The sequence below is a fragment of the Homo sapiens genome, chromosome 12 (genome assembly GCF_000001405.40).
Source record: "Homo sapiens chromosome 12, GRCh38.p14 Primary Assembly".
Lineage (NCBI taxonomy): Eukaryota > Metazoa > Chordata > Mammalia > Primates > Hominidae > Homo > Homo sapiens.
In genome coordinates this window covers 39,862,029-39,882,158 of record NC_000012.12, presented here as the reverse complement: position 1 = coordinate 39,882,158, position 20,130 = coordinate 39,862,029, and the positions used below count along the sequence as shown (strand labels likewise).

The 20,130-nt window shown below is 36.2% G+C and overlaps 2 protein-coding genes across 9 annotated transcripts in view; one reads left to right on the top strand and one right to left on the bottom strand.

Annotated features, from left to right (window-relative positions):
• Positions 1–20,130, bottom strand: part of REDIC1 (regulator of DNA class I crossover intermediates 1) — a 282,118-nt gene that overhangs the window by 26,142 nt on the left and 235,846 nt on the right. The window lies entirely within an intron of this gene.
• Positions 1–20,130, top strand: part of SLC2A13 (solute carrier family 2 member 13) — a 351,057-nt gene that overhangs the window by 223,923 nt on the left and 107,004 nt on the right. For all 8 annotated transcript variants that reach the window (XM_011537847.3, NM_052885.4, XM_017018765.2 and 5 more), the window contains 2 exons: positions 10,198–10,361; positions 17,277–17,397. In XM_011537847.3, the coding sequence (XP_011536149.1) occupies positions 10,198–10,361; positions 17,277–17,397 (285 nt within the window). The remainder of the gene's footprint in view (positions 1–10,197; positions 10,362–17,276; positions 17,398–20,130) is intronic.

The following is a 20,130-nucleotide window of genomic DNA, read 5'->3' as shown; positions in this document are numbered from 1 at the left end:
AGTAAGTATTATTGTGGGTAAGGGGCAGGAATGAGTGATGATGGATAATAAAAAAGAAGCAGTGTCTGGAATAAAGTCTACATGAGAGTGACATATTATGTCAGTGGGGAATTCAAGTAAGTGAGCCTTGAGAGTAGGCTGTGCTGGCCAGAGAGGAAGATACTTAAAGGATTTTGGTGGTAGAGCAGTTAAAAGAGACTCAGATGTTGTGTGGATGGTCCATGTTGATGCCACTGTCACCGAGAATCATGATACAGGGGTAAGAATGGAGAAGAAACTTGTGAGGCCAGTACTGAAATCTTTATTGAATGAACAGTGACCAAAAAGTAGACAGACAACTAAGTGAGAATTAGAGGATAGTACAGTCATTTCTTGCCCCTCTTTTCATCCTCTCCCACTCCTCAGGCCCAGAGGTATCTAAAATATGAGAGAAAACAGCCTAGCCTCTGGATCCAAGGTGTAAGAAGGTTATGCCTCACGTCTAGACTTAGTTCACAGGGCACAGAAAAAGAGTATGGGACGGCTGAGATGAGAGGAAGATTGAGTCAAATTAGTGAATGTTACCAGGTTAGTGTGGAGGTAAATGGCCAGGTATAAATAGGTGATCTGAAAATCTTAGACTCCTTCTTGTTGCTGAAATAAGCAGATAATTGAGACATGATGAGGCGAGGTGAAAAGTGTTGTCTGACAAGATTAGAATCAGCACTTTTTTAGTAAACTGAAAAAGACAGTCGTGAGGAAATGATGCATACATACCTTAAACATTTTATTTCTAGTTGTACAATAATTCATCATATCCACTGTTTGAGTTTCCAGATTGTTTTTTTTTTAACATAAACCACACTCATATTGTCATCTATGAATTCCAGGCTTTCAAGTAAACCAGAACTGAAAGACACATATGAAGAAACCCAAGGGCAAAATCTTTCTAGACTTTTACTTCTCTCTTATCCCTAATTTTTTATGGTTGTGTTACCCACACAACTTTTAAAATAACTCAACCTTTATTGGCTTTTTCCAAAGCATGAAGTTTTGTTTTTAATGCAACAACTCTCTTTTAGTATTTTATGTTTTGTTGCTTTATGTAACATTTGATTGAATTATATAATTACAATGACAGGCATAAACAGGTTTGGGAACAATCACATGTAACCTGTTATACATACAATTCAACAAATGGGAAATGTGAGCCTATGTGAAGTCCCATATGTTCAATGTCCAGTGGGCATGTATTTTATAGAACGAATTAATAGGTCAATGTGGCAAATTGGTGAATTAGAGTTCAGATGAGAGAGCTTACTTCATTGTTCTCCATGATGCTTAAAGGAAAGTCAGTGATGTGGCTGAGCGAGGTGAGACAAGTAATTGGTCTTTCCTGAGGCCGCCAGAGGTATGAAGCCAGAGTGAGGGAACTCACTTCTGAGGCAGAGGGTAGGTCACATTGGCAACATTGGCATATGTAGAAATCCCTTATAAGTTCCATTGGCACATTTTCTTCTTTGTTCTTCCAAAAAGACTAATAAAGTTATTTAAATTATGAAAATTATTTTCTAATATATTAAATGTGATTAATAAGTAAACTTTCTGCAGGTTTCTATGATTTTTGTATCATTGCTTGATTTAATGGTAGTATGATACAATTGACTAGTATGTTAGCTCAAATCCCTCGTATGAAATATGTGCAATTGTGATTTCTACTTTTCTAACTTTTAATTTTGGCTTTATGTCTTGCATGTTATAATGTACAAAGAGGATTTCTCAGTGTACCAAATACATGAAAATATGTTTGAAAATTTCATTAATTTTTTAAAAATAGTTCTTAAGATGTTTGTATCTTGAGTAAAACATTTTTCTATTAAAGCTATTGATGTATTTTCCATGTGATGATGATTAGGCCATTCTTGCATTGCTACAAATAAATACTTAAGACTGAGTAATTTACAAAGAAAAGAGATTTACTTGGCTTATGGTTCTACAAACTTTACAGGAAGCATGGTGCTGGCATCTGCCCAGCTTCTGGGGAGGCCTTGGGAATCTTACAATCATGGAAGAAGGCAAAGGGGGAGCAGTCACGTCACATGGCAAAAGCAAGAGCAAGCGCGAGAGAGAGAGAGTGCAGGGTGAGGTGCCACACAGTTTTAAATGACTGTGTCTTGTATGAACTCACTATCATTAAGACAGGACCAAACCATGAAGGATCCACCCCATGACCCAAACACACCCACCAGGCCTCACATCCAGCCTTGGGATTACAATTCAACATGAGATTTGCATGGGGACAAATATCCAAACTACATCATTCCACCTCTGGCCCCTTCCAAATCTCATGTCCTTCTCACGTTGCAAAATACAATCTTGCCTTCCCAATGGTCCCTCAAAGTCTTAACTCATTCCAGCTTAACTCAAAAGTTCAAGATCTCATCTGAGACAAGGAAAATCCCTTCCACTTTTGAGCCTGTAAAATAAAAATCAAGTTAGTTACTTCCAAGATACACTGGGGGTATAGGCATTGGGTAAACAAATATTCTCATTCCAAAAGGGAGAAATCAGCCAAAAGAAAGGAAGAAAGGGGGTACAGGCCCCATGCAAGTTTGAAACCCAGCAGGGCTGTAATTAAATATTAAAGCTTCAAAATAATCTCCTCTGACTGCATGTTCCACATCCAGGGAACACTGATGCAAGGGCTGGGCTCCCAAGGCCTTGGGCACCTTTACCCTTGTGGCTTTGCAGGGTTCAGTCCCCAGGGCTGATCCCATGAGTTGAAGTTGAATGCCTATGGCTTTTCCAGACGCAGGGTGCAAGCTGCCAGTAGATCTACCATTCTGGGGTCTAGAGGATGGTGGCCCATTTCTCACAGCTCCACTAGGCAATAGGGGACTCTGTCTGAGGGCTCAACCCCACATTTCCCCTTGGTACTTCCCTAGTAGGGGTTCTCTGTGAGGGCTCTGCCCCTGCAGCAGGCTTCTGCCAGGGCACCCAGGCTTTCTCACGCATCCTCCAAAATCTTGGCAGAGGCTGCCAAGCATTCTTCACTTTTGCATTCTGCATATCTATAGGCTTAACACCATGTAGAAGACAGCAAGGCTTATGCCTTGCACCTTCTGGAGCTGTGGCCTGAGCTATACCTAGGCAGGCCCCTTTGAGTCACAGCTGGAGCTGGAGAGGCCAGTATGTGGGGAGCAGTGTCTCAAGGCTGCACAGGGCAGTAGGCTCTGGGCTGGCCTACAAAACCATTCTATACTCCTAGGCCTCTGGGCCTGTGATGGGAAGACCTGTTGTGAAGTTCTCTGAAATTCCTTCAAGACTTTTTCCCATAGTCTTGGCTATTAGCACCTGGCTTCCTTTTAGTTATGCAAATTTCTCTAGCAAATGGTTGCTCCACAGCATGCTTGAATTCCTCTCCCAAAAAAGCTTTTTTCTTTTTCTGCCACATGGCCAGGCTGCAAATTTTCCAAATTTTTATGCTCTGCCTACCTTATAAATATAAGCAGCAACTTTAAGTAATTCCTTTTCTCCCTCATCTGAGGATAAGCTGTTAGAAGCAGACAGGCGACTTCTTGAATGCTTTGTTGCTTAGAAGTTTCTTCTACTAGATACTGTAGTAATCAATCTCAAGCTCAAGCTTTCACAGACCCCTGACACATGAACAGACAGCAGCCAAGTTCTTTGCTAAGGCATAATACACATGACCTTTGCTACAGTTCCCAATAAGTTCCTCATTTCTACCTGAGACCTCAGCAGTCTAGACTTCACCGTCCATATCACTATCAGCATTTTGGTCACAACCATTTAGTCGGTCTCTTAAAAGTTCCAAATTTTTCTTGATCTTCCTGTCTTCTGAGCCCTCCAAATTCTTCCAACCTCTGCCCATTACACAGTGCCAACGTCACTTCCACATTTTCAGGTATTTTTATAGCAATGCTTCACCCCTGGTATCAACTTTCTGTATTAGGCTGTTCTTGCATTGCTATAAATAAATACCTGAGAGTTGGTAATTTATGAAGAAAAGAGGTATAATTGGTTTACTCCTATGTAGGCTTTTGAGGAAGAGTGGTGCTGGCATCTGCTTAGCTTCTTGGGAGGCCTTAGGAAGCCTGCAATTATGGCAGAAGGCAAAGGAGAAGCAGACACATCACATGGCAAAAGCAGGAGCAAGCAGTAGGAGAGTGGGTCAGGGGAGGTACCTCACACTTTTAGATGACCAAATCTCATGATTTAGCACCAAACCTTGAGGGATCCACCTCCATGATCCAAACGTCTCCCACCATGCCCTACCTCAGCACTGGGGACTACATTTCAACATAAGATTTGGGCAGGGATGAATATCCAAATTATATCAGATGGAAAATATGATGTATTTTTTGAGAAGAAATTCAAACTACTGCATAAAGGTTTAGAAGATTGTAAATATAGTGGTAACCCATCACTTAAATGGTTGGCTGATATTATTTCTGTAAACATTGGAATTCACATGTTTTTAAATGTAAGTTCAGTGTATCTTTCCACAAGTCCATGACCTGACTTTTAAAAATTAGGTTTGTGGATTATTCTGATCTAAATATGTCATCTTCTGCCCTATGAAAGAGAATATAGTTATTGCCTAAATTTTTCTGGAACTAACATTTAAGTGGATGCCCTTGTGATAGTTATTGATACGGTTTGGCTGTGTCCCCACCCAAATCACCTCTTGAATTGTAGCTCCTGTAATACCCACATTTCATGGGAAGGACTCAATGGGAGGTAATTGAATCATGGAGGGGGGGTTCCAATTCTGTTCTTGTGATAAGGAGTAAGTCTTTTGAGATCTGATGGTTTTGTAAAGGGTAGTTCCCCTGCATATTCTTTCTTGCCTGCCACCGTGTAAGACATACCTTTGCTCTCCTTTGCCTTCCACCATGATTGTGAGGCCTCCCTAGCCATGTGGAACTCTGAGTCCATTCAACCTCTTTTTATTTATAAATTACCCAGTCTTAGATGTGTCTTTATAGCAGCATAAGAGCAGACTAATAGAGTTATCCTTGTTTTTGAGTATACAAACAGTCTCCCAATAGGAAAATATAATTATTTTTAGTTAAAAGAACCTCTTTTAATGTAATGGCATTCTAAATTCTCTGTAGTCAATGTACTTTGGCATATGGTACCAAAAAATATATATATTTATAGCACTAGGAACTAAAAGAGCTAAAGAACATAACTTAGATAATGGAAATCTTTAAGGTCTTACAGTCAATAAACTACTCCATACTTTCTCATGTAACTTGTCCTATATCACAATATGAATATGGCCTATAAGACTGTTGAGTAAGTCAGCAGTTAATTTGTCCTACTTAGACTGGCTCTTGTCAGGAAGAGTATGTTCCATATCCCTTTTATTTATGAAATTAACGTCTTTATAGTCCCATGCCAGAAAAAAATTGTCTGTATTATGAGCTGATACATTTTATTTTGTCAAACAGTTAAAATTTTCTAAAATATTTACTATTTTGCCTTGGCTGCCAGGAATTTTAGAGCTAACTCATAGTGTCTATGTCACTAAGGTTTTCATATAATTATCTTCATGTTCTACCTCTCTATTATCAGTCTTTAATTTTTAATTTAGTAAGTCTATCAGGTGTTTTTTAATATAATTATTCTTAATTTCTTCTCAAAAATTTACGGTAGATAAATTCAATAAACCAGCAGACAATTATTTTACTGTTAATTCTATAATGCAAGTAATAGTGAAAAAGATAGCTTTTTCAGAAATTCCTAGGAAATGCTTTGTTCAAATAGGAACTTAGTAGATGTATTTTGTTAAGCATATGAAGTATTCATGTTTAGTCTTTTATTGCTAGTTAAAAGTCAGCATTAGGATAGACTGTCATTTCCAAAGCCTATATGTTTCTGTTTTGTGTGAGTCAGATTTAAAATTCAGGACTGGAAGCTGAGTGTCACATAATCTCTAAGATAGCAATGCACGTAGATTTCCGGCCTTGGCTGTTCTTAAATGTCTACAGAGAGTTGCAAACCTTTCAACTTCACTCTGGGGAAGAGATGGTATGTGTGAGATGACCAAAGTTGGCCCAGGGAATCTTTGAAGAAGATGATAGTTTGTCTGATAGATATTATAAAATGACTTTGAAAGGAGAAGGTATGCCTGCTTTGAGTCTAAAAAGGAAAGAAAGCCTTTTTCAGTTGTTCATATTGTTCTTTTATGCATAAGAGGGTTCCCTTATGCCTTTGTGCAACTTTTGAATGAATACAGTCCCTTGAAAATGCAAACTACTGCATAAAGGTTTAGAAGATTGTAAACTCAGTGGTAGGTAGCCCATTACTTAAATGGTTGGCTGACATCATTATTTATGAAAACATTGGAATGTACTTTGTAATTGTAAGTTAAATGTATCTCCCCATAAGACCATGACCTGACTTTTAAAATTAAGTTTGTGAATAGTTCTGACCTAAATATATCATGTCCTGCCCTGTGAAAGAGAATGTAGTTATGCCTGATTTTTCTAGAACTGATTACCTTTTAAATAGATGTCCTTGTCTTTCATTCCTTCCTTCTCATTATAACTGTTGGCTTTTGCTTATTTTACTGCTTATTAGTACGTTTACTGTGATAGCCAGAATAATGGTCCCCCCAAGGACATACAAACATCCTAGTTCCCAGAGCCTGTGAATATGTTGCATTACATGGCAAAAGGAAATTAAGGTGCAGACTGAATTAAATGTGCTAATCAGTTTACCTTAATTAGGGAGATTATTCTGGATTTTCTGAGTGGAGCCAATATAGTCACAAGGGAGGCAAAGCAAAGGTCATAGTGAAGTAGCATGAGAGGGACTTGACAAATCATTGTTGGCTTTGAAGACTGAGGAAGGGGGCCACCAGCCAGGGAATTAGGAGACCTCTAAAAGCTGCAAAAGACAAGGAAATGATTTTTCCCTGGAGCTTCCAGGAAGGGACAGAGCTCTACTGACACCTGTGATTTTTGACCCCCAAGTGAGACACTTGTCAGATTCGTGACCTACAGAGCTGTGAGATAATAAATGTGTTTTGTTTTAAAGTCACTAACCTTGTGGTAATTTGTCATGGCAGCAACACAAACTAATATATTTACCAGGGTTAGAGAAAGGAAGATGAAAATCAAGGCAGTCTGTACAGGACAAAATTTAGTGTGGGCTGAAGTCGCAGCTCTTGCTCAGAGGGAGATACAAGGCTGTCAGTGAATTTCAGCTCCTCCCCTTACTGTTTTCCATTAATCCAGATAATCTGCAATTGCCTGTTGCCAGTATAATGATTTGAAATAGGCTTCAGAACAATATACCTTTAGTTCAGTCAGCCTCCAGTTCACCCACTTGGCTCTCACCAGAGTAATGTCTTCATAGAACAGATTTAATCCTGTTATTTCTCTTTAAACTTCGCTTTGTGATTTCCCATTGCCTACAATACAAAGTCCAAACATAGAGCATTACATTCAAGTCCCCTCCATAACAGAAGCTTCTGCTATAGCCTTACATCATACTTCTCATTTGTATGCATTCTTTTTTTTTTTTTTTTTTTGAGATGGAGTTTTGCTTTTGTTGCCCAGGCTGGAGTGCAATGGTGTGATCTTGGCTCACTGCAATCTTCGCCTCCCAGGTTCAAGCAATTCTCCTGCCTTAGCCTCCTGAGTAGCTAGGATTACAGGTGCCCGCTACCATGCCCAGCTAATTTTTTGTATTTTTAATAGAGATGGGGTTTCACCATGTTGGCCAGGCTGGTTTTGAACTCCTGTCCTCAGGTGATCCACCCGCCTTGGCCTCCCAAAGTGCTGGGATTACAGGTGTGAGCCACCGTGCCCGGCCCCTCATTTGTATGCATTCTGTGTTCAATCAAGGTGAAGTACTTATGTCTGTGAACCCAGCATACCATTTTGCACTTTAGTCCTTCAGATGTGTCATTTCAGTGACCTCCAGTGCCCTCCCAGATCGTCAGACCTGCTGGCAAACCTCTATGACAAGGCACAACCCTAACATTAATTCCCTGGAAAATCAAGAAATATTCTACAGCAAATAAATTATTTGCTCTGTCCTTTGTGCCTCACTGTTGCTTTTATGTGTCGTGATATTAAAATATTGTCTTTCCATTTCATTCTTTTAAATTAAACTATGAGCTTCTTGAGGGCAGCAACAGGATTTAATAACATATCTGTGGGATCTTAGTAATTCACATAGCTTATACACTAGGTACTTAATAAATAAATATTCAGTGTACAAGTGATTATGTTACCTAACCTGGACAGAAGACACGGAGGTGCTATTAGAATGCAGGTTTCTGAATCCCAGGTCAGTTTTTGGTTACATTCTGACTCTATAACTTAAGTACCTAAAATACTTTGTATAGCTATGGAACTTTTTTTCATTTTAAATAAAATTTAGACAACTTATTCTGTTTTATACTACTCTCCTTTCTATCCCTTCATTTAACACTTGTGATTTCATTGTTTTATTTTATTGAAAATGAAAGCATCAAAATAGCTTCTGTTTTAATTTTCCCCTGCCTCTATATGGAAGAATTATTTTGCACAATATAACTATTCTTATTCTTAAATTATTGTGAAGATTCTGAAACTTAGTAGCATGACACATGTCAAATTCTTTTGGCTTTAAATATTTGAATTTTCTTTCAATATTTCTGTTTTCTGCCTTTTTAGATTTGGTATTTATGTTAATTTCTTAGTGATTACATGTAAGGTTTGACATTGCCATACAGGTCTTTATGAAAATGTATATGGTAGAACTTGGAAACTATAAAACACTGCACAAATGGAATGAATTGTTTTCATAATTGTTATCATCACTTTACACTCTGACTGCAAAACATTCGCAGTTTTCATGATGATGGGAGTAATTCCACTGGGAATTTCTCTTTTTGCAACAGCTGTCAGAATTCAGTCTTAAAATGGTTGGCAGCTTTTTAGTGTGATCAGTAAAACACATCCTTCATGCTACATAGTTAATTTATAGGTTTGGTTTATTAATTTAAAAAAGGAAAACACTTTTTTTCAAGATGAATGAGTCCATGTTGGTATTAAAATTTTAGATAAGAACCATCATCATTAGTTTAAAAAATAGTAGACAGAAGCCATTGATGAATCAATGAGACTTAAACGTATTCAAAACAGATTTGATTTTTGAAATATTATGAAGGTATTGATAAATATTCACAAACTGTAGATTTTTAACTATGGAAATATTCAGCCTGATTTAACATATTGCTTGGATGACCACTGTCTGATGTGAGTAAAGCTAACTTGTTTTAGAATGGCTTGAAAAGCTGGGCAAAGCCATGGTTCAGAATGTGTATTTAAGATTTGAATTCTATCACATTTCATCAGTGACTCACCAGCAGTATTTTGTTTTCTTTGTTTTCAGGTTAACTTTAAAATAATCAGCTGGTTTAGCTATTAATGTTTCCACCAGAAAAGAAATGTCTTGTGATAAACTTGTCATCCTTAAATGTGCCAGACATATCTTCCATTGTGCATCAACAAACTGGCATTATGGTCTTTTAAAAGCCAGTCTCCAGTGAGTTCACTTAGCACGAAATGAGTCTACAGAGCTTAATCATGCTAGAGACTTAGCTCACCAGAGTACCCTTTTTCGGGAAACATAAATGATTCTCATGGGTCCCATGTCAGTTTCTCATCTTTTTACACAATGCTAGATACATTCTGACACTGTCTTACTCATTGTGTCTTTTTTGAGGCGTTCCTTCACTTGTCCCAGATTTTTACCACTATATTACATTCTCTTATGGCAGTCTTTTAAGGACATTAATTCACAGTGAATGATGACTTCTGATTCATTCCATGGACTTGCAGCTTAATATAACATAACCTTATTATGTGGCCAATTAAAGTGATACAGTTTTAGTGAAACTACCAGCTGCCACTGTCCCTAGTTGTGGGATGTGCATCACTTTGGAAGCTTTCAACCTTATCTACTTGCTCAGGTGCCTTTTCTTGATTATACAAACTCCAAAATAAATTTATTTGAACATAGTCTTTATATTGTGATCTTTTCAACAGCTTGCATGAATTCCCACGTTAATTTGATGTTATTACTGTAGTTCTCCTTATATTTTTTTCAAATTGAATACATCTTTTTCTATCAAAATAACCCTGTTTCTTTGGGTAACTATCAATAGCAATTGTTTTATTCATTGCTTTGCAGGTACTACAGTGCAACCATTCTGCAGATGTCTGGTGTTGAAGATGATAGACTTGCAATATGGCTGGCTTCAGTTACAGCCTTCACAAATTTCATTTTCACACTTGTGGGAGTCTGGCTTGTTGAGAAGGTGGGCCGCAGAAAGCTTACCTTTGGTAGTTTAGCAGGTAGGTGGCTGGATAAAGAATTCAATTATAAACTTTATTTCCTAATAACTTCAAGTTTAACCTTCAAAAATACAATACTTACACCACTTCTAATATTGGTTTCTCAGCCAAACAACAAAAAAATTAGAGTTCTTCTAGACCAAAAAAGAAAAAAAAAAGAGCTTTTAACAACTGTTACGCTACGTGACTAGAAACTAGAATGAGTAGAAACAAACTGCAAGAATAATTTGGATCTACTGAGGGTAACATTTTTCTGTTACTTGAGTTCCACTCAAAGGTACAAAAGTGAAAAAAAATAATTGTTTTTTTTTTCTATCCTTTTTTGAAAAACTAAAAACTTTGGATTCAGAAACTCACTTTTTAACATATATTTTTAAATTTGACATACAATGGAATTAAATTTGGAGCATTTTTTCAAAGCTCTTTCAGCAGTGGAATATTAGAACCATGTAATTTCTTCACAAAGCAGGGACAAACTCTTTTGTGTTTGAAACAGGCCTAAATTCCAGGGTAAATTCTGGTTGGTTAAATGTATTTTCTATGATAGCAAAATAAAGCAAAACCTTTTTTTTAATTCCCAAGTATCTTTTGTGTTTAAATTCTGCCCATTTTATTTATTATTTCACTGTACACAAGGACTGTTTCATTGATAGAATGAGACCCACATATTTAACATTGATTTTACATGGCTGCATGGTATAATTTTCTAATTTTTTTCAAATATGCAAGTACATTCCTATGTATCAATTAGCTATACTCTAATAACTCCTTTATAAGTTTATTTGGAGTGAGAATGCATTTTTCCATTAAAAGATAGTTTCCAGGGCAGCATTAACTAAATTCTATTTTAACCAAATTGTATCGAAAACATTGATCTAATAGAACTGTTTCAGTCACTCATCCCATATTTGATGAGAAAATACATTCTAAGTTCCAAACCCAGTTATCAGAAATACATACCCTCTCCTGACCCTCATTCCAGAATGAAGAGTAGAACGCTTTCACCTCCTGTTCTTGCCTAAGCAGTGGGAGCCCTTGAATCCAATAATGTGTGCTGAACTGCAGTATCAGTGCTGGAGGGAAAGGTGAGAGATTGTCTGATTAAGGGGCAAACATGATTGCCAACAGCCAGGATATATACTGAACTAAGACAGTAGGTAAATGAATAAAAGTGAGGGACAAGTAAAGGTTTCAAAACCATGTTTATAAACCTGTTGAAGAAACCAGAGGTATATAGCCTGGAGAACAGACTAAAGGCAGAAGCCTACCAGGTATTTTATTTTAGCAGATAGTAGATGTTATGAGGACACAGATTTTTACTTAATATAAGAAAAATATCCCCAATAATCAGAGCTATCCAGCAATGAAATGGACTGAATCATTAGGATAGTAAACTCTCAACGAAAGGATAGATTACTATCAGGCAGTGATGTGTTAAAAATAAATTTCCACAGTGGGCTGGAAATTGGATTTGCTGACCCTTGATTTTCAGATGAATGCTAAGAAGAGATAATAGCTGCTTTTAAATATTTTTAATGGATGACACCCTTCTTTTTAAATAGAACTCCAGTATATTGCTACCTCAAGAAGTCTATTTTTTAAATAGAACTTAATTGCTTCTTCAATTTGGGATTTGGCCTTTGAGATCTGGGGAAAACTGACTAAACATTATTTCTAGCAACCTGTGTTCGTTCCTTCATTTGGTATTCCAGTAAAACACTTTCTTATCAGTTCTGTAGGATTTTTGAGCCCTTATTGATACAGAGCTCCAGACTGTTTGGATTTGAATAGTGTGACTTTGGGCAAGGTTCTATTTTCTCATTTGTGAATGGGGATTAATTATCATCCCTACTTCACAGAGATGTAATGAGGATTTAACACATTTACAGATGTATAGGATTTCAAATACTACCTGACACAGAGAGTAAAGGGCTCTGAGCATTTTAGCTGTCACAGCATTATTGTTACCAAAGAGTGAGCCTTTGTTGCTTGAACAAACTTAGTGCAAAAGCAGCCTCCATCGTCATAATCTAGGAATCTTCCTGAACTCTTCTGGCCTATGTCATGTTTCCCTCTCAGTGTAGGTCTTCTGCCCAAGGATTTCCAGAGCCATCCCTGACTGTTAAGGGGAAGTATTAAGACAATTCCTCGGGAAACACCAGGGGATTTCAGGGTCTGCTTCTCATGAGCAACCTATAGGCACTTTTCTTTCCTGCCTTGTTCTCTTTGCAGCTGAAACCCACCAAGGCCTCAGTTCTGCCCACTACAAACACTGTACAGTGATTCCTTAGCTTGAGAGACACAGTCTATTTGATTTCCTTATTATGTGGCCAATTCAAGTGATACAGTGGATATAACAATGGTTTGAGAGGTGGAAGTCCTGGTTTCTTGTCACAAGCCTCACAGGTCTCCTCTTTTACCTGTACACATAGTAAATGGTGCCATTCATGTGGTTCTGCTGTTTCAGTGATTAAATAGGTCCTACTAGAAGATAATGACCAATGGACCTTTACACCTTCAGAATAAGAAGTACCATTCAACAACCTTGTTAACACATTAGTATTACTCCAGTGTGACCCTCACTCACAATTGATTTTTCTTTCACATTCCTATACTGATTCTGTGTTAGTTGTATTTTTATTTCAGTGTGTTTTTGTTTTATTCATTTATATGTAGATATATACTTGACATTTTAATAGTACTAACATACGGTTCTATGTTAAATTTCTTAAATTGGCTATAGCCTCGAATTTTTAACCTTTGATTCAGTATCGTTCCCTATTTTGTGTTCTTACTATGATTTATTTTATTATATTGGACTAAAAATAGTGAAAAATGTTATATCAAGATGATTTTTTGTTAGATATTCATTCTTTTAAAATGATTACAAATAAAAAATATGTAAGCCTGGACAAAGGAACTCTTTATACAAAGAAGTACAAAATATGTAGTCCATGAATAATCTTAAATGTAGGACATTTTTGGTGTTTGACTTTTTGTATTTTCAAAGCTTGTTCAGAGAACTGGACTTTTCTGGTAAATATTACAAATTTAATGACAAATTCTTGATTCTTTAATATTGGAAGATTTGGATCTATGTAGCTTTATTGGTAATGAATCAGAAAGCCAGAAAGATTGTGTTTTTCCCCCCTCATGTATTTTGGTAGTGTAATATTTCTGAAAACTTCACTCACAGACGGTCTTCATCACAGTTGCCAAGGATACTTATTTTAAAACATGGATTATTGGGCCTTAACCCAGATCTACTAAACTAGAATTTCTGAAAATGAGACTTGAAATATGTGCACTTTAGACACATTCCCTAGGTGATACTTATGCACACAAAGTGTGAGAACTACTGCTCTGGTAGAGTCATGGGAAGGGAAATTATTTTGTTTTTTTGAGTATTTACTAATAAGCCAAACACTGTACCTGGTACTGATTATTACAATAGATATTTTTAATAATGCTATTTATTCAGCACTTTTCACTTCCTGTGGAGAATATTTTTATTTGCCAAATTATATCAAAATTCCAAAATCTAATACTGTATTTGGTTAAGAGAGACTCTTCTCTTGAAACATAAAGAACATGCCAAAACTACACAGTACACCAGATAAAATTCTTTCATCCAAAGCCTTCTTGTATTAGACTCAAATCCAGGTTGTAATAATGAATAACTTGACAATAACCAGATTGATTTTAAATACTAACAAGGGACTGATAAAACATCTGTAACTAACTAAATATAAGTAAAAAGGTAATTCAAGTTGTTTTATGCTTTAATAGTGTATATGAGTAGATGATAGGACTAAGTGATTACTTAAAAATTTATTTTATAAATAAAGTCGTTTAAGATACCATTTCCTTCTTGTAAGGAGCTTATCATGTCATAGGGGTTTTAGCCCTGTCTTGGCATCATAACCACTTGTGGAAAGCTTTAAAACTCAGATATTTTGTACTGATCTTCTGGAGACTCTGATTCAGAGGTTGGGGTACATCCAGGCATTTGCTTCCAACAGGAAGCCAGGATTGAGAAACATCACTATATATAATAACAAAAGAGTATAATGCTGGCTTTTAAAATATTTTCCTCCAAAATGGGCCAAAATAAAATAAATTTGGCTTAAGAAGAGTTAACTTTTACCTATTTAGGAATTTTCTATATACAGAATAGTTTATTTCTCATAATTTTTAGGTTGGTTGGACCTTAAGAGATAGATGTAGAGTCATATTATCCATATTGCAGAGCTCTCATTTAGGATAGTTGTACCATACTAACCTCATGACTGTAATTGGATGGACTTAACAGTTTTTTTTTTGTTTTTGTTTTTGTTTTTTTCAAAAATAGCCAACATTGCGAAAATGTATAGTATGGTGGCCCATCCATTCAACCAATATTTATTTGAATCTTTATATGCCAGGCACTAGAATTGGACCTTACTGGATATGTGCTAGGCATACCATCTTAGAGTTTATCATTTTCATGGAGACAGGTTATTTAATGAGTGTTATGAAAGAAGAGACTCATCTTTCCTTCACATCTTAATATATCAAAGTTTCCTGATTTAAAAAATCTTACCTGTTGCATGGCAATAAGATATGGATGTAATTTGGGAAAATAGGGACTCAGATTTTTTGATGGACAGACTAACAGTAAATCTCATGGTTCGTTTTGTTTTGTTTTAGGAGAGAGGTATGATCTTCATAACAGACCTATTATATCTCTTTTCTGTTTTCCAATTTGGGGCTTGATAGTCTTTTGAGAAAAGTAATGGCTCAAACTATTCCTAGTTCTGGTTTGAATTTTAAGCCAACAGTAGTTAAACAAACTGTGATTTTAGTTTTATCGCATTATTGGCCTGGTTTTGCAAAATAGACTTCTGACCTTTCTTTAATCCTCCCCATCCTTCAACTTTGTTCTGTTATTTTGAAGGCTTGCTGTGGCTGCTGCTGCTGCTGCTTGTAATAATAATCATAGCATAATAACTAACATGTTATAGCATTAAAACATCTTTCGGCCGGGCGCTGTGGCTCACGCCTGTAATCCCAGCACTTTGGGAGGCCGAGGCTGGCGGATCACGAGGTCAGGAGATCGAGACCATCCTGGCTAACACGGTGAAACCCCGTCTCTACTAAAAATACAAAAAATTAGCCGGGCGAGGTGGCGGGCGCCTGTAGTCCCAGCTACTCCAGAGGCTGAGGCAGGAGAATGGCGTGAACCCCGGGGGGCGGAGCCTGCAGTGAGCCGAGATCGCGCCACTGCACTCCAACCAGGGCGACAGCGAGACTCCGTCTCAAAAAAAAAAAATCTTTCAAATACATTATGACATTTAAAATTCACTGTAAGCCCGTAAGGTGAGTATTTTCACTAAGCCCTATTTTACAAAAGACAACATTGAATTATGGAAAGGTTGTGTCCTTTATCCAAGATCACAGAGTCAGGAAACAGCAAAGCTAGCTAAAAACTACAGTCATCTGATCCCAAGGTCACCTCTGTACCCATAATGCCTGGCTTCACACACCTACTATGTCTTAAACAAAAACATCTCAACTATTATATAACCGTGTTGTACTTCCACGATGCTTCTCAATGTTCTTTTTAAAATCTATTTTGAATATTTTTGTTCATAATTTAAATTCCCTCCAAGCTTAACTAATAAAACCTTAACTACTACTAAACTGCCCTCCTAAATTCCATGTTTTAAACTTATTTTGTCTCATTCAAATAAGTTGTACAAACTAACACAGCCATATTCTCTTTTTTAACTTTTAATTTCAGGGGTACATGTGCAGGCTCGTTATATAAGTTAACACATATCTCAGAGGTCTGGTGTACAGATTATTTTGTCACCCAGATAATAAGCACACTACTCAATAAGTAGTTTTTTCATCTTCTCCTTTCTCCCACCCTCTACCCCCAAGTAATCCCTGGTGTCTGTTGTTCCCTTCATTGTATCCGTGTGTTTTTATCATGCAGCTCCAACTTTTAAATGAGAACATGCAGCATTAGGTTTTCTATTTCTGTGTTAGTTTGCTAAAGATCATGGCCTCCAGCTCCATCCATGTTGCTGCAAAGGACATGATCTCATTCTTTTTTACAGCTGCATAGTATTCCATCATATTTTCTTTCTCCATTCTTCCCATGACCCTTTTCGTTTACCCTCACAATGTCTGTGGCTCAAACAATAGTCAGAAACTTGAAAAATGTCTTATTTGCCATTAGGATGTCTATAAGGGACACAAAAATTATTCTTTTAAGTGATATACTTAATCACCATTCCTATATGTTAACACCAAAACAAATATTTCACTTTCAAATACCAACAGGAAAGAAAAAAGAATATATGTGATATATTATTTCTGGTACTTTAAAGTCTTCAAAAAATGCTACTCCATTTTAATAAAACATGCTCTTTCAACTGCTTTAGAAATAACTCATTTGTTAAACTAAAAAGGTTTACCAATTTAAGTCTTACATGATTGAATGTCATTAGAAGAATTTTCTTGGCACCAAAAGGAACACTTGATGGAAATCTATTGTCTTTCGTGCTTCTTGATATGTTAGGCACTCAATAATGTTGTCACATTAATTGATTTTGAGATTTTCAGCAATACTAGGTGTGCGTGGTTTCTTTTAAAAAATCATTACCAATTTACTGTTTGGCTAGCAAATGTATTTGCTTTGAATTTCACTCTCATCATGTCTCACAATGAACGTGCTAGTGAATAGTTCTGATAATTTGTTTATACATTGGGAGTACTTTTTAAAAATCCAGTGAAGATAGAGCACGGTATTTTTTTTTCAGGAGTTTTTGTTTGTTTCTTTGTTTTTTGGTTTGTTTTTACCAAACCCAGTCTGCCTTAAAACAATATTGTCAACTCTTCTCTAATATAAAACTTTTTTTTTTTAAGGTACCACCGTAGCACTCATTATTCTTGCCTTGGGATTTGTGCTATCAGCCCAAGTTTCCCCACGCATCACTTTTAAGCCAATAGCTCCGTCAGGTCAGAACGCCACTTGCACAAGATACAGGTGAGATTCCATTATGTTCTTCTTCCTTTACATGACTCTGGTAACTTTTTTGCTTGCTTTTAACTTTTTTAAAGTTGTAGAGATGAGTAGGAGCTTGCTGGGCATCCAGGCTTATGTAAGAAGGGAAGAAAATGGGAAAGGTGGTAGAGAGGGGCCCCTAGGAAGAGGAATAGCTTGTGCAGATGTGTGAGTGTAAGGAATTAAGGAGAGAGTGGGTTGTTAGACACAATCTTGGTGATGTTTCTCTGGAAATTAAAATTAGGGATTGATACTGAATCTAAGCAGGAATTCAGAAAAGCTATTTTAGATCATATACAATTCAGTCACCTCTGTGTTCCAAGCAAAGTAAATAACTTTAATCAGTAATCAAACTTTTACAAGATGCACATGCCCTCTGAATATTCTGACAATTTGGACTGATTTGCATGGCTATCCTCTTATTCATTTAAACAGAAGGAAAGTTTTCCCTCAGTACTGAGGCTCTTTCAGAGGATCAGGAAGTAAAAAGTGATGGTGAAAGAAAACAAAATGTTCTAATGGCTAGCTGCAGGCCTAAGAGCTCATTAAATCTAACAGTGTACACACTATGTGATAAATAGATCGAAAAGTAGATAAATGGATAGATGGACTGAGAACACATAAATGAAACTTTGAGTGATTGGACACATCGATTAATATATTTGGCAGCAGAGCTTCAAAGTTTTAAACTGGACTTTAGCCACCATAAAGTCTAGCAATCCCTTTAAAACATATAGATAGAATAAGACCTAGCCTTAACAAAAATGTATATTCCTTTAGCTTGAAATAGATGGACGCAAGTCTCAAATCAATGAGTAAATGATTTATTAACTCATACAACCCTATATGAAATTAAAACATTATACCCTAAACTCCACTTGGTATTCATTTAGAGCATCCAGTTGAGCGTGAATTTATGGTGGCTGTTCATTACAACAGTGAGGAAGATATATTGGTTCCAAATTGTGATCTATGTGCCTTTGGAAAATAGGCATCATAGCACGACTTTTATTTTACTGATAAGTTTGTTTATTATTGGCTCACTGACTTTCATAGTCTTTTTATTGTTCTAAGAAGACTTAAGGGTGTCTTCATAGTAGAAGTTAACCATAGCATCTTTATTTGGACATCTGCCTCAATTGCTAGAAATGCATATTCTACTTTTCTTTTTCTTGATGGATATTTTACTTATATGTTTTTAACACAGTTACTTTGAAAAAGTATTTTAAAAATTACTGTCATTTGAGAATCATAGAATATTCTCCAGATCTAATGTCTGATGTAGATGTATTGTTCAGAAATACTGTTAGGTCAACTAAAGTCAGAAAATCACCTAAAAATTATTAGAAAAAGTTCTTTGAACTTCTGATATAGGAAAGGAATGACTGTAAGTTTTTAGTGATTTACATAATGAAATAGTTTTCCTGACATTGACTTTAAAGTTTAAATAAAAATATTTATTGCCCAAGTATATCTCACTGCACAGCAGTTTATGATCATCAGTCTGTTAATCCTTATGATGTAAGGTATTATCATCTAACTCATATTTTAATATTCAATTTTAATGAGGTAAGAGAAGTGATACAGCCTACCTTTATTCTTATTACAAAAATAAGCAGCCATTTGTGAAGATAGAACCAAATTTTAGGTGTCCTTCGGGAGTCAGTGGATATGAAAAACAATTATTTATTGTATGAGTAACATATTAGGCTTTGTGGGAATTTGACAGTATGTATTTATAGTCTAAGTGATTTTGTAAAATATGGCTGCAGTCCGCTTACTGGGTTTTTATGGTTAAAACCATCTATAATCCTCTGCTCTACCAGCTGAGCAGTAATTGACTGTATTAGTTATTTTAAAATAACTAAAAGAGTAGAATTGGAATGTTCCTAACACAAACAAGTGACAATTGCTTGAGGTGATGAATATCCCCATTACCCTGATTTGATCATTACACATTGTATACTTGTATTAAAATATGACATGTACCCCATAAATATGGTCCACTATTATGCATACACAATAATTAAGAATAAAAACCATCTATATACATTTCCCCTTTCCTTAAGACAAACAGGAAAAGAATCACATAATACCTTAAGATGAGTGAAGTTCACTTTGTAAATGTAGATAGTATGCTTTCCCCATGGAGTGATCCGTATAGGAAAATTTAGCAAATGAAACAGATTTTAAAGGAGAAGTAGTTTAATATCTTAGTAACATCATATTCTATTCTATTAGTGGGAGCACAAATTGTTCTTCATTTTAGAAAGTGATATGGTTCTGCCTAATAAAAGTTAAGTGCCTATGTCCATTGACTCAGCACGTCCACTTGTAGAAATCTATAGACCACAGTGATGAGTATGCAGTTCATTCTTACTAGAGAAGATTTAAGAAAGTAAATGGTTAAAGAACAATGATTCTTCTTGATTTTAATTCAATAAATATTGGTTGCATACCAGGCCAAAAATATTGTAGGTTAGAGCTCCCTAATGACTTGAGATTCAAGAGATCGACAACCCTAAATAATTTTCAATGAGGACATCTCCTTTTTAGAATATTTTAAGTTTTTGATTGATAATGTATTTTCCAAGGCCTGATTCAATTCTCTGGACTGAATGTATTAAAGAATGTCTTTCAGAACAATGAGAACATAGGGACACAAGGAAGGGAACTAACTACACACACTGGCGCCTGTTAGGGGGCAGTGGTGGG